The sequence below is a fragment of the Homo sapiens genome, chromosome 9 (assembly GCF_000001405.40).
Source record: "Homo sapiens chromosome 9, GRCh38.p14 Primary Assembly".
Classification (NCBI taxonomy): domain Eukaryota; kingdom Metazoa; phylum Chordata; class Mammalia; order Primates; family Hominidae; genus Homo; species Homo sapiens.
In genome coordinates this window covers 127,721,574-127,737,121 of record NC_000009.12, presented here as the reverse complement: position 1 = coordinate 127,737,121, position 15,548 = coordinate 127,721,574, and the positions used below count along the sequence as shown (strand labels likewise).

The 15,548-nt window shown below is 56.8% G+C and overlaps 2 protein-coding genes across 29 annotated transcripts in view, besides 4 other annotated features; one reads left to right on the top strand and one right to left on the bottom strand.

Annotated features, from left to right (window-relative positions):
* Nucleotides 1,828-5,598, top strand: TOR2A (torsin family 2 member A). 10 transcript variants are annotated; one of them, XM_011518554.3, is made up of 5 exons: nt 1,828-2,002; nt 2,558-2,823; nt 3,565-3,737; nt 4,431-4,558; nt 4,844-5,598. In XM_011518554.3, the coding sequence occupies exons 1-5, from the start codon at nt 1,852-1,854 to the stop codon at nt 5,086-5,088; spliced, it is 963 nt and encodes a 320-aa protein (XP_011516856.1). In that variant the 5' UTR covers nt 1,828-1,851; the 3' UTR covers nt 5,089-5,598. The 10 variants fall into 10 exon arrangements, with proteins under 10 accessions (XP_011516856.1, NP_001078816.2, NP_001238950.2 ...); NM_001085347.3 differs by having other exon boundaries at nt 3,562-3,737; NM_001252021.2 differs by lacking the exon at nt 2,558-2,823.
* Nucleotides 1,835-2,124: a silencer, noted in NCBI's record as "silent region_20308". NCBI's record gives its function as "represses an Ori minimal core promoter by ATAC-STARR-seq in GM12878 lymphoblastoid cells {active_cell/tissue: GM12878}" and the evidence as "EXISTENCE:reporter gene assay evidence [ECO:0000049][PMID:35858748]".
* Nucleotides 2,348-3,254: an enhancer, noted in NCBI's record as "H3K27ac-H3K4me1 hESC enhancer chr9:130496147-130497053 (GRCh37/hg19 assembly coordinates)". NCBI's record gives its function as "activates a minimal SCP1, AML or CMV promoter by ChIP-STARR-seq in naive and primed H9 embryonic stem cells {active_cell/tissue: H9 hESC(naive and primed)}" and the evidence as "EXISTENCE:reporter gene assay evidence [ECO:0000049][PMID:30033119]".
* Nucleotides 2,555-2,604: an enhancer, noted in NCBI's record as "active region_29048". NCBI's record gives its function as "activates an Ori minimal core promoter by ATAC-STARR-seq in GM12878 lymphoblastoid cells {active_cell/tissue: GM12878}" and the evidence as "EXISTENCE:reporter gene assay evidence [ECO:0000049][PMID:35858748]".
* The window catches only part of TTC16 (tetratricopeptide repeat domain 16), a 15,512-nt gene continuing 5,495 nt past the window's right edge, over nt 5,532-15,548 (bottom strand). For 4 of the 19 annotated variants that reach the window (XM_011518285.3, XM_011518288.3, XM_047422838.1 and 1 more), the window contains 6 exons: nt 13,789-14,003; nt 12,758-13,002; nt 10,718-10,883; nt 9,657-9,852; nt 7,454-7,541; nt 5,532-6,486 (listed from right to left, as the gene is read on the bottom strand). In XM_011518285.3, coding sequence (XP_011516587.1) covers nt 5,717-6,486; nt 7,454-7,541; nt 9,657-9,852; nt 10,718-10,883; nt 12,758-13,002; nt 13,789-14,003 — 1,680 coding nt within the window. In that variant the 3' untranslated portion in view covers nt 5,532-5,716. Of the gene's footprint in view, nt 6,487-7,453; nt 7,795-8,113; nt 8,221-8,541; nt 8,814-9,656; nt 9,853-10,009; nt 10,153-10,717; nt 10,927-12,224; nt 12,367-12,757; nt 13,003-13,788; nt 14,004-15,548 lie in introns of those variants that run through there. The other 15 variants (NM_144965.3, NM_001317037.2, XM_011518284.3 and 12 more) reach the window with 13 other exon arrangements.
* Nucleotides 10,007-10,508: an enhancer, noted in NCBI's record as "H3K4me1 hESC enhancer chr9:130488893-130489394 (GRCh37/hg19 assembly coordinates)". NCBI's record gives its function as "activates a minimal SCP1, AML or CMV promoter by ChIP-STARR-seq in primed H9 embryonic stem cells {active_cell/tissue: H9 hESC(primed)}" and the evidence as "EXISTENCE:reporter gene assay evidence [ECO:0000049][PMID:30033119]".

The following is a 15,548-nucleotide window of genomic DNA, read 5'->3' as shown; positions in this document are numbered from 1 at the left end:
TCTTTTCTTTCTTTCTTTCCTTTTCTTTCTCTCTCTCTCTCTTTCTTTCTTGTTTTTTTTTTTTTTTTTTTTTTTTTTTTTGAGATGGAGTCTTGCTCTGTCACCAGGCTGGAGTGCAGTGGCACAATCCCAGCTCACTGCAACCTCTGCCTCCCGGGTTCAAGCGATTCTCCTGCCTCAGCCTCCCCAGTAGCTGGGATTACAGGCATGCGCCACTACGCCCAGCTAATTTTTGTGCTTTTAATAGAGACGGGGTTTCACCATGTTGGCCAGGATGGTCTTGATCTCTTGACCTTGTGATCCGCCCGCCTCGGCCTCCCAAAGTGCTGGGATTACAGGCGTGAGCCATCGTGCCCGGCCTCCTTCCTTCCTTCCTTCCTCTCTTTCTTTTTCTTTCTTTCTTCTCTTTCTTTCTTCTTTCTCCTTCCTTCCTTCCTTCCCTCCTTCCTTTCTTTTCTCTTTCTTTTTCTTTCTCTTTCTTTCTTTCCTTTCTTTCTTCCTTCCTTCCTTTCTTTCTCTCTCTTTTCATCCTTTCTGTTTCTCCTTTCCTTTCCTTTCTTTTTCTTTTTGAGATGGAGTTTCACTCTTCTCACTGCAACCTCCGCCTCCCGGGTTTAAGCGATTCTCCTGCCTTAGCCTCCAGAGTAGCCAGGATTACGGGAGCCTGCCACCACGCCCGGCTAATTTTCGTATTTGTAGTAGAGACGGGGTTTCGCCATGTTGATTCACGCGCCTCGGCCTCCCAAAGTGCTGGGATTACAGGCATGAGCCACCGCACCTGGCCGGAAATACTTATTTCTTTTTCAGGCTCTGATATTTGGCCCCAGAAGTCGTGTGTGTGTGTGTGTGTGTGTGTGTGTGTGACTATGTGTTGAGGTTGGTAGGGACAGGGTCTTTGAGGTGGGCCATGAAGGCTGTTGTCTTGGTTCCCTTACTCCAGTGGGTGGGGGAGGTGGGCAACGTGGATCAAAACGAATCCAGGCCAAGCTGGAGGCCTAGGGAGCCTGCGCGCTGAACCTCAAACGTCTGGAGTCCTTTGCCTTCTGAATCCTTTGACCAAGAGAGGCTGATAACATGCAACCACGCACTACGGCTCTGGTTGCAGCCAGACTTGGGTTTAGTTCTATTGTTTACCAGCTGCGTGACATTGGGTAAGAGGCTTAACCTCTTCGGTCCCAAATTCCTCCTTATTAAGATGGGGACAACAACAGAACCCATCTCCCAGGACTGATACCAAGCATTTGGCCACAGTTGCTGCTAGGTGAGGGACAGTCCTGTTTAATACACAACGGAATGTTGATGATCATGTATTGACCACTTTCTGAGCCAGACAATTTGTGTGCCTTTATCTCATTGGAACACCACCATTTCTCTGGATAGCAGATACTATTACCATATTATAAGGTATATAGGCACTTAGCACTAATGGCACAGAGTAAGTGCTCACCAAAAGCTGTTAGTGAGGGCACTTTTGTCATATAGAAGAAAAAAGGAGCATGGAAAAGGCGCTTTGCAAGGTGTAAGGTTCCGCACAAGTTTTTGCTGTAATTGTTACGTCGCCCTTTGTGGTCGTGATCCTTTATTTATTCTTTCTGAGCCACTACGATGGTCCCCTAGTTACCGTGGCCATGGAAACGCGGCCCGCCGTCCCGGATTGGACGGTTCGCGGGTTCCCCCTGGAGGCCACCTTCTGGTCCTGCTGCGGAACGACGGGCGGGCCTTGGAGGCGGGGAGAGGAGCGTCGGGAGTTGTAGGCGATGGGCGTGGCTGCTGCGGAGCGGTGCACGCCGGGAGTTGCAGTTCCCGGGCGAGGCAGTTGACTGCCCCACAACGAGCTCGGGCCTCACCCGGATGGCGGCTGCGACGCGCGGCTGCCGGCCCTGGGGCTCGCTCCTCGGGCTGCTCGGGCTGGTCTCGGCCGCGGCCGCCGCCTGGGACCTGGCTTCCCTGCGCTGCACCTTGGGCGCCTTTTGCGAATGCGACTTCCGGCCCGACTTGCCGGGTGAGGCGCCAGGGAGCCCGGAGCGAGGGGCGGGCGGACGCGGGCAGACGCGGGAGCGCTGGGAGCCCTGGGAGCCCGGCTGGCGCCGGCCAGAGAAGCTGAGGACCCAGAGGGTGGGACCGAGGGGCGGGGCCCGCAGACTTGGGAGGGTGGAGGGTACCCGTTGAGGTCCAGGAGGCCCTGCCAACCTGGAGAGAGGCCTCAGCCAGCAGAACCCTTGGTGGAAGTTCTTGGGCCTCCCCGGAATGGCCTGGCCGTCAAAGGAGAAGTGCAGTGCGCCTTGGGGATGGGCGGGGTCTGCGGCTGACCCCGTTGACAGCTCGCATTTAGAGCTGAGTGCAATCTAGAGGACCGCCTGGTGGGGGCGCTGCCGAGCTGAATCAGGCCCGAAGGTGGCTCTTTTCCGCCACAGACCCCAAGGTTTGCGTGCCATGTGCATAGGCAGCTTGGACAAACGTAAGGACACAGGAGTCCCAGACCAGGTTCCAGACATGATGTTCTCCTTGAACCTCTGCCTCGGTGGGATGTGTCCTCACCATCCTCCTGTGGCCCTAGGTCTGGAGTGTGACCTGGCTCAGCACCTGGCCGGCCAGCATCTGGCCAAGGCGCTGGTGGTGAAGGCGCTGAAGGCCTTTGTGCGGGACCCAGCCCCCACCAAGCCGCTGGTCCTCTCCCTGCACGGCTGGACCGGCACCGGCAAATCCTATGTCAGCTCCCTGCTGGCGCACTACCTCTTCCAGGGCGGCCTCCGCAGCCCCCGCGTGCACCACTTTTCTCCCGTCCTCCACTTCCCCCACCCCAGCCACATCGAGCGCTACAAGGTAGGCTGGATGCGTCCTTGACCACTGTTCTCACCATGGGGTGCCACCCTAGGGAGTAAGTCCTGAGCCCAGACAGGGGAGTCACCTGCTCCAGGCCACACACGGCTGCAGCCCCAGCCCTCAGGACCCATCCTGCACAGAACTTGGGAAGGTGTCATTCTACCTGGCAGGGAGTACTTTGATTCCTTGGGGCAGTAAGGAACCCTGGCAGTACCTACATGCCAGGGTTGTTGTGAGGGACATGAGATTATACCATTGCAGATATCATTTATGGAGCACCTATGTTTGTCAGATAATCTGCACTGTTGTCTTGCTGGAAATCAGCCCCAATTTGTGGCTCAGAGGAAGCATCAGGAAATATTGGCTCTTACTACTACTGTTGTTGATTGCAGGGTACCCACCAGGCTGATCAGTTTCAGCCGTCAACACTGCTGTGTAGTTTCAGGGAGCAGGAAGGAGCCTTCCCCTTTTATAGAAAGCAGCAAGTGTCGTGGAAGGAGCTCTGAACAGGGAAGTGGGAGGCTTGGGTTTGAGTCCCTGTTCTGACTGGCTGTGTGACTTTGGGCAAGTCTCTGCCCCAATCTGGGATACAGTTTCACCATCAGTCTCACTAAGAGGTTGGTGCTCTCTGGAAGACCACATCCTTCCCTAGAAAGGAGATTAGTTTTGGTTTGGGAAGAGGTCTGGTGTTGGGGGAGTTTCTCCAGCTCCCCTGGAACTCCTGTCTCTCCCCTACAGAAGGATCTGAAGAGCTGGGTCCAAGGGAACCTCACTGCCTGTGGCCGCTCCCTCTTCCTCTTCGATGAGATGGACAAGATGCCCCCAGGCCTGATGGAAGTCCTGCGGCCTTTCCTGGGCTCCTCCTGGGTGGTATACGGGACCAATTACCGCAAAGCCATCTTCATCTTCATCAGGTGGGGCCCGGCTTTGCAGTGGGCACAGTGGGGGGGCCACTTCTCAGAGGTTCAGCTCTACAGCCTTAGCCTGTGCTCCCAGCAGAATCCAGTTCCCCATGGGCTTAGCTGGGCTTTCCCAGTGCCCTCCGCCACTCTCAGAGATGACATTGTCATTCCGCCTGGTTGATTTCCCTTTGGACATTCTCAGCAAATTCTGGGCTCAGTCTTTTTGATCGCCACTTCTTTGTGGAAGCCCTGCCAGGTCAAGAAGTTTTCCCTCTTTTGTGGTGAGGAGGACACAGGCCTGGGAAAAATAGGAACAGAGTTCTTGTCCTTTAGTCCCAGCTCTCAGAATCCTCGCTGTGTTTCCTCAGGCAGCATGGCTCCGCCTCTCTGAGCCTCTGTCTCTGCTTCTGAACAGCGGGGCCAATAATGATGCCCCGATGCCTTCCTGGAAGTTCAGTGAGGGAAAGTCAGTTGAGGGACACAAAAGTGTTTTGTAAACTATAAAGTACGTGGCATGTGTAGGTGAATTACAGGGGCCATGGATGTGGACACCATGGAGGGGGAAGTGGAGCGTTTTCAGTGGAGTTGGCTCCTCCCCGCACTGAGCCATGTTCCTATGTCAGGTGGCAGCGGGGAAGCGAGGGTCCAATCCTGCCCTGCGCTAGTCCTCATCTGAGTCTCAGCCTGGGTCCCCCATGGTTTTAGCAACACGGGTGGCAAGCAGATCAACCAGGTGGCATTGGAGGCGTGGCGCAGCCGGCGGGACCGCGAGGAGATCCTCCTGCAGGAGCTGGAGCCGGTCATCTCCCGCGCGGTGCTGGACAACCCGCACCGTGAGTCTGGCTCAGCAGCCCCCTCCCGGGCAGCTTCACCCCACACCCAGGGGCCAGGCTCTCCCGGGGTCTCATGCTTTGCCCACTGACCCGGCAGTTCTGAGCCTGGCTTTGGCACTCCCAGCTTTGTGACTTTGGGTGAGCCTTACAGCCCCTGAGTCCTACACCCAGAAGGCGGCTGAGGGAACTGAGGCCAGCATTTTTCCTCCTGCCCCTGGGGGTTTGGGGCCGGCTTCTCCCCTCTTGTGAAGCACAAAGTCCCCTCCCCACCTACCCTTCCTGCAGATGGCTTCTCAAACTCGGGCATCATGGAAGAGCGCCTCCTAGACGCAGTGGTGCCCTTCCTCCCGCTCCAGCGGCACCACGTCCGGCACTGCGTGCTCAACGAGCTGGCCCAGCTGGGCCTGGAGCCAAGGGATGAGGTTGTCCAGGCTGTGCTGGACAGCACCACCTTCTTCCCTGAAGACGAGCAGCTCTTCTCCTCCAACGGCTGCAAGACCGTGGCCTCCCGAATCGCCTTCTTCCTCTGACTCTCTGAGTGGTGTCCTCGGCCCCCCTGATGGCCAGGCCATGCAGGAAAGGCCAGGGGCCTCTGTCACAGGAACCCAGAGCACCAAGTGAGATGAACGGAGTGTCGGCTAGGCCACGGGACAGATGGCCAGGAAGGGCCCTGGCCTCTAAACTGGCTCGAGAGCATCTTGGCCCCGGCCACCTTCCCCAGGGAAACCCCTGGTCACCCCAGAACCTCACTGAGCCTTGACCTCCCCCTGCAGCCTGAGCCTTCTTACTGTGAATTATAACTCAGGGACTGTGGCTCGTGGCGGTGCTCCCTCCTCAGTCTGCCACCCTTGCCCCTTGCCTCCTTGGTCGGGCACCATACCTCCTCCCCTCCACCCCACACCCTGTGTCCATATCAAGCCAGGTGGAGCCTTCTCAGTTTCCAGAAATGGAGGGACTCAAGCTGCCACTTGGGCCTGGTTTTAGATGTTTTTAATTTTGTAAAAGAAAACAAGTATAATAAACTCAGCTGTGGGACCAGAGGACTGTTGCTAAGACTTTTAATTGCTCTGGAAGGAGGCAGCTGGCTGAGTGCCAGTGTGGGGAGGTGGGTAGAACTCGTCCCCTCCCCAGCAAGAAGGGAGGGTCTGGATGGTCCCTTCAGACAGCTTCATAGTAGGTGAGGTCCTGATCAACCTCAGTTTTGCTGAGACTTGGGCTGGGTCCCCAGGTGGACTCGGCCTTGCTGGAAGTTGAGCTCATGCCCTGGCTCTTGCCCTGGGCACCCTCAGCCTTGCTGGACCTCTGGCCCTGGCCTTGGGCATACTCAGTTTTGCTGAGGCTCCAGTTTGAGTCATAGAAAGCCTCAGTCTTGGTGGAACTTCGGAGCAGTCCCCTGCTTCGGCCCTGGGTGGCATCAACCTTGCTGGGTCTCCAGCTCCGGCCACGAGCAGCCTTGACCTTTCTGGGCCTCTGCCTTGGGCTCCGGGTGGTCTTGGTCTTGCTGGGCTCCTGCCTTGGGCCCTGGGTGGCCTCAATCTCGCTGGAGCTCTGCCTCTGGCCCTGAGTGGCCTCAGTCTTGCTGGAGCTCTGCCCCTGGCCCTGGGTGGCCCTGGTCTTGCTGGAGTTCCGCCTCTGGCTTTGGGTGGCCTTGGTCTTGCTGGAGTTCCTCTTGTGTATAGTGGCCTTGGTCTTGCTGGAGTTCCGCCTCTGGCTCTGGGTGGGCTCAGTCTTGCTAAGGCTCTGCCTCTGGCCCTGGGTGGCCTTGATTTTTCTGGGACCATGGCTTAGTGCCTCCCTGTTGTTCCCAGAGTCCGAGGATTGCGTCTTCAACAGTGACGAGTCAGAGAATGTCACGGCGGTGGCTGAGGTGCTCCTGTATTCCTGGCAGATAGCCGACATCTCAGTCTCTGAGGTGCCTGTGGTCCTGACTAGGAAGGGGGTGCCAAAAGCACCCATCAGGCCTGCCGCACCTGCCCTGGACAGCTCTGGGAAAAGGGGCTTCCCAATCTCACACTGGCCTGTGGCCCAGAGGCTTCGCATCACCAAAGGGAAAGACCTGCAGATCACCCCCGCCCAGCCCCCAGCGACCCAGACCCTGAGGGGTGGGGCTGTGAGATGGGGGAGATGCCTAGGAGCCCCCTTCTCCCAGTCCCAGGCCTCTGCTCTGTGGCTGCCCCTGCCCTCTGTGCTCCTGTTGCAGCAGACAGCCCCAGCAGGGCCCCTGCGTCCCCCCGCCTGGCACCCTCCTGCTTTTCCATCCTCGTCCCCACTAAAAGGCGCTAAATGCACCCACACCCCGGCTTCCCCCGCACTGTGTCTGCCCTGTCTCCTGGCTGTGGGTCACCTGGGAGCCTTCTTCCTGTTGGAGCTTAGAATTCATGTCTCAGGGCAAGGACTATGCCAGTCATTCCTGTGCCTAGTATTGAGCACAGGCCTGGCCCAGGGCACTTGGGGAGTTTGCTGGATTCACAAAATGAAGAAGGGGCCTGGGCCCTGCCACTCGCCTCCCGAGCGAGGACTGCGCACACCCGCCTTGGGGCCTCTGAGGAGCAGCCTCCCCATTCTTCACTTCTGTCTCCTCCAGGCTAGGGCCCTATGTACTGGGGCTAAAAGCCCCCTGGCCATGCACAAGGTTTGTGGGCTTATTTCAGGGACAGGGCTAGGAGGGGATGAGAGCAGAGCAGCAGCTACCATGAAGTGCCTGGAGCAAGCCTCACCTCGTCCTGGGCAGCCCCGCAACAGTGTTACTCCCGCTCTAGAGCCACTCGCCCCAGGCCACCCAGCTGTCAGCAGCGGGGCCGAACGCACACCTAGGCCAGCGGTCTTCGACCCCTGAGCTTTGACTACCCTGCTGCCTTAGCTTCCTGAGGCCTGGCGGAAGCACCAGGGACTTACAGCTCATGCTGGAGGCTGAAGAGGTCTGGTCAAGGTAGCTGTCAGACAGGGACGCCACCTTGCTAGGTATGAGCTCTGATTTTTTCTCCTATGGCAAGAAACAGGCTTTGTAGTTCAGATGGTAGGAGGCCCGTGCAGCTGCACCTCTAGAAGGCCAGCAGCCCTGGGCCCCTCGGTGGTCATTCTCCTGAGCTTGGAGGTCTTTGAAGGTGCCAGGTTAGAGTGGGGTGGGGACACGCAGAGGCTAAGCCTGGCAGGAAGGGGAGCGACCAGGCTAGACAGGCATGGTGCCGTGAGAACGGTTGTGTTGAAGGAGCTGCTAGCGCCTTGGTTTTTTTCAACTGCAAAATGAAAATTAGTTCAGGTGTGGAACAGGCTTCTGTAAATTGTAAAGGGCTGTGCCCTGGGGAATGCTTACGGAGGACTTGAGGAGCTTCTGTAGGCTTTACCCCCATCCATTCTCCCAATACAAGTGAAGACGGAGGGATGGGGAGAGCTGCTAATGACCATTTCACTGAACAGGAAACCAAAGCTCAGAGCCCCTAAGCAACCTGTCCAGGGCCACTCGGCTAAGAAGCAGAGAGGCCGGGTTTGAATCCAGGTCTGCTGGCTGCCACAGCCAGACCCTACCTAGGCTGCGGGTCTCTGCCCACGTTCACACCTGTAGACAGCGAGGTACACCATAGTGCTCCAGGTGCCAGCTGGGAGTTGCGCTCTGGGCTCCATCCACTTCAGCCCAACGTCTCCCTGGGGGAGGGGGCCTCTGACTTCAGGGGTCACACAGAGGGAAGGTGTGTACTTTAATATTCATTCTAACATGAGCTAGAAAACTGAAGAGCTAGCACTTTCTTTCCTTTTTTCTTTTCTTCTTTAGACAGGGTCTGGCTCTCTCACCTAGGCTGGAATGCAGTAGTATGATTACGGCTCACTGCAGCCTCAAATGACTCTGGGGCTCAAGAGATCCTCTTGCCTCAGCCTCCCAAGTAGCTGGGACTATAGGTATACACCACCATGCCTGGCTAATGTTTGTATTTTTTGCAGAGACAGGGTTTTGCCATGTTGCCCAGGCTAGTCTTGAACTCCTGGGCTCAAGCAATCTGCCCATCTTGGCCTCCCAAAGTGCTGGGATTACAGGTGTCAGCCACCGCGCCCAGCCACATTTTCTATTGATGGCAAGGGATGCTGGTATTCCTCTACTTCAATTGCTTCAAGTTTCCTTTGAACATTAGTGTACTTGATGTCTACCAGCAGTAGAACAGAGGAACACACTGTGGGACTGTCAAGGACGGAATATTCTGCAGCACCAGCGAGAGGGAGCAGGCCGCTGCCACCCGCCGCAGCGTGAGTGACGCTCACCATGCTGTCCATTTATGTGAAGAAAAGACGAAACTCATGTTTGGTGTCAGGAATCAAGACAGCCTTGTAGGTGGGGTGGGTTACGGGAGGGGCCTCGAAGGGGGCCCCAAGGGGCTTCTGGGAGCTGGGAAAATGTTCTTTCTCGATCTGGATAATGCTATCATGGGTGTAATGCAGTTTGTGAAAATTCATCAAACCGGTACTTATGATTTGTGCACTTTTCTATATTTATGTTACGTTCAATAAGAGGTTTTCAGAAACAAATTTAAGAATTAAGAAAATTCTGGGGGCCGGGTGCAGTGGCTCATGCCTGTAATCCCAGCACTTTGGGAGGCCCAGGTGTGCAGATCACTTAAGCCCAACAAAAATACTAAAAATACGAAAAATTAGCCGGATGTGGTGGCACACACCTGTAATCCCAGCTACCTGGGAGGCTAAGGCATGAGAATTGCTTGAACCCAGGAGGCGGAGGTTGCAGTGAGCCGAGATTGTGCCACTGTACTCCAGCCTAGGTTGACAGAGCAAGACTCCGACTCAAAAACAAAAAATTCTGGCACAAGTGGCAAGTGGCTAGTGCCTACAGTAGAATTCATGACAGTGACCATGAGCAGGGCTGTGACTCCTCTCTCTGAGGGCCCACATCCCCACACACCCTCCGTCAGGAGCACCCCTTGCTGGTACCATCCCCATCTCATAGCAAGATGTCCCCAGCCCATCACACAGCTGAGGGAGTGCAGAGCCAGGCCTGGAAGCCAGACTCCACTGGCCTGCATCCTTCAGCCCTGGGCTGGGGTACGCTGTGCCCCAGACCCCAAGGGCTCCGAGCCCTGGCCTGTACTCCACTTACCTCTTTTTTCTCCTTCTCCTTTTCTTCCTCCTCCTCAGGGGCCTCAGCCTCTCCCTCTGAGCTTCCCGGTTTTACCTGCGGAATCTCAGGGGTGGCCTTCAGCTCCTCGGAGGTCGCAATCAAAGGCTCCCCCTGCTTCCATGAGTGCTGCAGGGCCAAGGCCTTCTGGCGCTCCAACTCGTGCCGTTTAAGCATCCTGCCAAACGATACCCCCCAGGTATTGTCAGTCTCCCTGGCCCATGCTGGTCTCTCCAAGGACTAGACAACGGCCCCGTCATGCAGCTGGAGCCAGAGGAGCCTGGAGCTGCAGCCATTCCCCAGCCCTGGCCTGTGCCCCTTGCTCCAGGGCTTACCCCACAATGCCTTGTGGGCTGCCGGCCTGCAGGCTGCCCTCCACCATCTGCTCCAGCTGCAGCCTGGCCAGGTGGGCTATCTGGGTGCTAAGCACCTCCTCCACCGACATGCCCGGGAAGAGGTTGGTCATCAGCAGGGACAGCTGCCACGAAAGGGGGTGACCAGAGCCAGGTGAGGGCCAGAGCAGCAGACAGACAGCACGATGCTGCCCTGACCCTGCACAGCCAGATTTGGCCCTTCCCAGGGCTGAAGAAGGAAGAGTTTTGCAATGTTTTTTGTTTGCTTGTTTGTTTTTTTTTTTTTTTTTTTTTTTTTTTTTTTTTTGAGACAGAGTCTCACTCTATCGCCCAGGCTGGAGTGCAGTGGCACAAACTTGGCTCACTGCAACCTCTGCCTCCCGGGTCGAAGCGATTCTCATGCCTCAGCCTCCTGAGTAGCTGGAATTATAACCGTGCACCACCATGCCTGGCTGCTTTTTGTATTTTTAGTAGAGATGGGGTTTCACCATGTTGGCCCGGTGGGTCTCGAACTCCTGACCTCAAGTGATCCACCCGCCTTGGGCTCCCAAAGTGCTGGGATTACAGGCATGACCCACCATGCCTGGCCTTATGATTGTTATCAAACCAGATTTCTTTGGGGGCCGAGGAGTATCTTTATGCACCGGGCATGACTCCGGAGCCTACACTCCTGACGTGGCAGGAACCTACCTTTGGTTGCTTGGGGTTGAGGAGCAGGACAGTGGCCACATCCTGGCGGGCCCCAAAAATGTTCTGCAGCAGCTGCCGGCTCTTGGCCCGGTACAGGTAGTACTGGGCCTTCTGGGGGTTGTGCCGGATGGCCGTGGAGAAGTGGTTCTCTGCCTTCTGGAACTGCCTGCACGACACAGTGGGTCCCAAGCTGCTATGAGCTGGGCCATCTGTGGGGAAAATGGTGGCTACTGGGCCCCACTGAGGAGTTAGAGGGAAACCAGGCTAGGTCTGCTCCCCTCACCACGCCCCTCTCCTCTCTCTCCATCAGGTACGTCCCTGATGAAGCCAACACTTCGATGCCAGTGTGAAACTCCAACATCAATGAATATCTTTATGATCTTGGGGTAGGGAAGGCGTTTCTGAGAATGGCATAAACCCATCGGCTAAAATGAATATATTAATTTGACTATGATTAAGTTCCAAGTTATTGAGTAGTAAAAATATCACAAAGAAAAGCAGTATAGGCCGGGCATGGTGGCTCACGCCTGTAATCCCAGCACTTTGGGAGGCCAAGGCAGGTGGATCGCCTGAGGTGGGAAGTTTGAGACCAGCCTGGCCAGCATGGTGAAACCCTGTCTCTACTAAAAATACAAAAATTAGCTGGGCGTGGTGGCAGGTGCCTGTAATCCCAGCTACTTGGGAAGCTAAGGCAGGAGAGTTGCTTGAACCCGGGAGGTGGAGGTTGCAGTGAGCTGAGATGGCGCCATTACACTCCAGTCTGGGCAACAGAGTGAGACTCCATCTAAAAAAAAGGAAAGCATAACGGAGAGAGAAGCTTTTTTTTTTTTTTTTTTTTTTTGAGACGGAGTCTCACTCTGTCACCCAGGCTGGAGTGCAGTGGCTTGATCTCGGCTCACTGCAAGCTCCACCTCCCGGGTTCACGCCATTCTCCTGCCTCAGCCTCCCGAGTAGCTGGGACTATAGGCGCCCACCACGACGCCCGGCTAATTTTTTGTATTTTTAGTAGAGACGGGGTTTCACCAGGTTAGCCAGGATGGTCTCGATCTCCTGACCTTGTGATCCGCCCGCCTCGGCCTCCCAAAGTGCTGGGATTACAGGCGTGAGCCACCGTGCCCAGCCTTTTTTTTTGGGACAGAGTCTCACTCTGTCGCTCAGGCTGGAGTGCAGTGGCGCAATCCTGGCTAACTGCCAGCTCCGCCTCCCTGGCTCAAGGGATTCCCGTGCCTCAGCCTCCTGAGTAGCTGGGATTACAGGCACACACCACCACGCCCAGCTAATTTTTAAATTTTTTTATATTTTTAATAGAGATGGGTTTCACCATATTGGCCAGATTGGTCTCAAACTCTCGACCTCAGGCGATCCACCTGCGTGGGGATTACAGGGATGAGCCATCGCCCCCGAGGAGAGAAGCAGCTTGATTGACCCAGGGATCCCAGCAGTTGGCCTCCTGCCCGCCCTGCCCTCGGGCCTGCCCCGCCCACCGTGGGGGCGGGAGCCCACGCACTTGCGCCTCTGCTCGCAGAAGCCCATCTTCTCCTGCAGCAGGCCCATGCGCGTGTTGGCGCCCTCGTCCTGAGGGCTCAGCGCCAGCGCCTGCTGGTAGTCCGCCTCGGCAAAGGCCAGGTTGCCCAGCTGGAAGAAGCAATCTAGGGTCCGGAGGCGGGGGTGAGTGGACCCCCAACTCCCAGTGCCCGGGAGCCCCAGCCCAGCCGGCTCCAGCCCGGGGGCCAGGGCCTGAAACTGGTGGCTGATAACCCCCCGCCGCAGTCTCCGTCCTCTCTAGTTTTCTGGGCGTCTGGGCACTGTTCCCCAGCTGCCTGTTTTGAGCATTTTAAGGAGTCTGGAGCCAGTTTGTCTAAGGCAACATTTCCCAAAGTGTGTTCCTGGGATACTGAGACTATTACATTTCCTCTTCCCTTGCTTCCTTCCTCTCTCCCTTCCTCCTTCCCCCCAGGGGCCTCAAGTGCCCAGTGGGGGCCTTAGAGATGGCGAGGCTCCCCCGCACCCCCCCTCCCCAGTGCCCTGGTCGCTGCGCACCGCCTCGGTTGATGTAGAGTCCTTTCTCCTGCTGCTCGTCCCGGAGGGCCTTGTTCAGCAGCAGCACGCCCTCCTGGTAGGCGCCCTGCCTGTAGCAGTGCACGGCAAAGTCGTTGTAGGTCAGCAACAGCTGGCGCTGTGCCTGCCGCACCATGTCCTCCTGGTCCTCGGTCACCATGTCCAGCACCTTCAGGAAGTCCTCCACTGCCCCATCGAACTCCTGGAGCCGTCGGTACATGGTGCCCCTGTCGGGGGGGGCGTGGGAGACGGCAGGAGGGACATGAGCGCCAGTGCACCCCCACCGACTGGCTAGTGGCCAGACAAGCCACTGCCGGCTCTGGGCCTCCTGACCCATGGAGGCAGTGGGGATCCCACCTCATTTGCTAGGTTTGTCCCGTGGGGCCAGCTCTGGACTGCTACTCAGATAACCCACTAGGCACTGAGCATTTTTTTTTTTTTGCAAAAATACCTTCTTTTTTGGGAGCCAGGTGTATGCCAGTCTCTACATTAAAGCATTTTGTACAAGAAGCAGGTGTTTTACCACCACTGTTTGGATAGGTTAATTGGCCCGAAATCACAGTGGCCTCTCATGTCACTGAATCACTTGTGGGATACTGAACCCAGCCCCTTGGCATAGGGAGAGATTGGCTGGGTGGACCGCCCCCTGGAGTCACTCCTGCCAGGGCAGCGGCACTCCCTCCTGAAATGCAGCAGGATGTGGTAAGTTCCTGGGACCAGACTCAAGCCTAAGTCTCCTCCACTGAGCTGGGCTCAGCGCCCAGCGTGAACTGCTTTGCAGGCTGCAGCTCTAGGATTCCTGGGGTAACTGAGACATGTGTTGGCATCCCTCTTCCAGCAGTAACAGAGACCACCTCTGCAATGCCTTAACCCAGTAGGAAGTAGGGAAAGACTGTTAGAGGCTAGCTGGGGAAACTGAGGCCCAGAGAGGGTCAGGGACTCTCCTTAAACCACACAGAAAGTCTGGCTGGGCAGGACCTGGGACCCAAGGCCAGCACCTTCCCATGCAGTACCGGAAGAGGAAGAGACTGGGGTCCAGAGGGTTGTTCTCGATGGCACGGTTGATCCGCTGCAGTGCGTGCTGCAGCTTGCCCTGCACAGCCAGGATCCCCGCATCTTGGCGCGCCTGCTGGGCCTGGGCCACCATCTTCTGGAGCAGCATCCTGGCCTGCGGGTGCTTGGGATTCAACAGCAAGGCGCTGTGCAGGTCCCGGTAGCAGAGGTGGGGCTGCAGGAGGCCATGGGTGGCATCAGGGGCACAGACCAACTGAGCCACGGGACCTAGAGGCCTTTCTTCAGCAGGGTGGCATCACACCATGCCTCCTCCGTGCCCCTCACATCCCTCCATGTTCCACCCTTTCTGCTTTTTTTTTTTTTTTGAGATGGATTCTCACTCTGTCACCCAGGCTGGAGTGCAATGGCGTGGTCTTGGCTCACTGCAACCTCTGCCTCCCGGGTTCAAGCGATTCTTCCACCTCAGCCTCCTGAGTAGCTGGGACTACAGGTGCGTGCCACCACACCTGGCTAATTTTTGTATTTTTGTATTATTTTTTAGTAGAGATGGGGTTTTACTATGTTGGCCAGGCTGGTCTCAAACTCCTGACCTTAGGTGATCCGCCCACCTTGGCCTCCCGAAGTGCTGGGATTACAGGTTTGAGTCTCCATGCCTGGCCCCTTTCTGCCTCTTGAAGGAGACAGGGAGCATCGTGGAGAAATTCCATCCCAGGCCCCATGCCAGCTGGCCCTTTCCAGATGTGACCTCAGGTGAGCCAGGCCAGCCCCAGTGGTTTCTGCAGATGCTACCTCCTTGTCAGGCCTCTGTGAAGCCCACTCAAGGTGCGGGGAGCATGTGACCTCCTGACTGTGACGGTTGTGTCCTCCCTCCCCTCCCCTGCACTCCCTCTTCTCCTCCCTGACCTTTGAGCCCAAGACTCCTCTGCCCAAGCCCAGATTCGGGCCTGGGTACAGTGGAAACCTCCCCCAGCAAGTCCCTTCCACTAGGAGGAGGAAGGCGCAGCTCAGCCAGGCAACAGACAGTTCAACAACACCCTGTTCCCTGCGGGGTGACTGGCTGGCAGGTGAACGGGATGGTGTGGACAGCAGGTGTGGGTGGAGGGAGGGAGGGAAATGGCAGGAGCTAGGGGCAGGGCTTCGGCATAAGCAGCCTTGGGCTCCAGGCAATGCCACTGGGAACAGGCTGTGTGACCTTGGGCAAGTCACCTGGGGCTGGCTCTTCCTCTGTGAAACGAGGACAGTGTGTCTCTATCCCAAAGGGTTGCTGCGAGCCTCACAGCTAAGCAGGGGCAAAGTGCTGAGAACACGCCTACGTATCGGAGGGGCTAAAATCACAACAGTCACCAATAATTATCAATAATTACTAGTCTCAGCCGGGCGCAGTGGCACACACCTATAATCCCAGCACTTGGAGAGGCCGAGGCAGGGGGTATCACCTGGCGAAACCTTGTCTCTCCTAAAAATACAAAAATTAGCTGGGCAGGCGCCTGTAATCCCAGCTACTCAGGAGGCTGAGGCATGAGAATTGCCTGAACCTCCCGGTAGAGGTTGTGGTGAGCCGAGATCTCGCCACTGCACTCCAGCCTAGGTGACAGAGTGAGACTCTGTCTCAAACAAAACAAAACAAAACAAATTACTAGTCTCATGCCACTGAATCGCTTGTGGGAGGCTGCAGCCCAGCCCCGGGGCACAGGGAGGAGTTGCCAGGGTGGACTGCACTCCCCGAAGTCACTCCTGCCAGGGTGGTGGCGCTCCCTCC

Excerpts from the sequence above, each read along its gene's own strand:
- TOR2A (NM_001085347.3), top strand. The coding sequence starts at position 1,852 with ATGGCGGCTGCGACGCGCGGCTGCCGGCCCTGGGGCTCGCTCCTCGGG. Across the intron at positions 3,738-4,430 it reads GCCATCTTCATCTTCATCAG|CAACACGGGTGGCAAGCAGA; the intron begins GTGGGGCCCGGC and ends CCATGGTTTTAG. Across the intron at positions 4,559-4,843 it reads GGTGCTGGACAACCCGCACC|ATGGCTTCTCAAACTCGGGC; the intron begins GTGAGTCTGGCT and ends CCCTTCCTGCAG.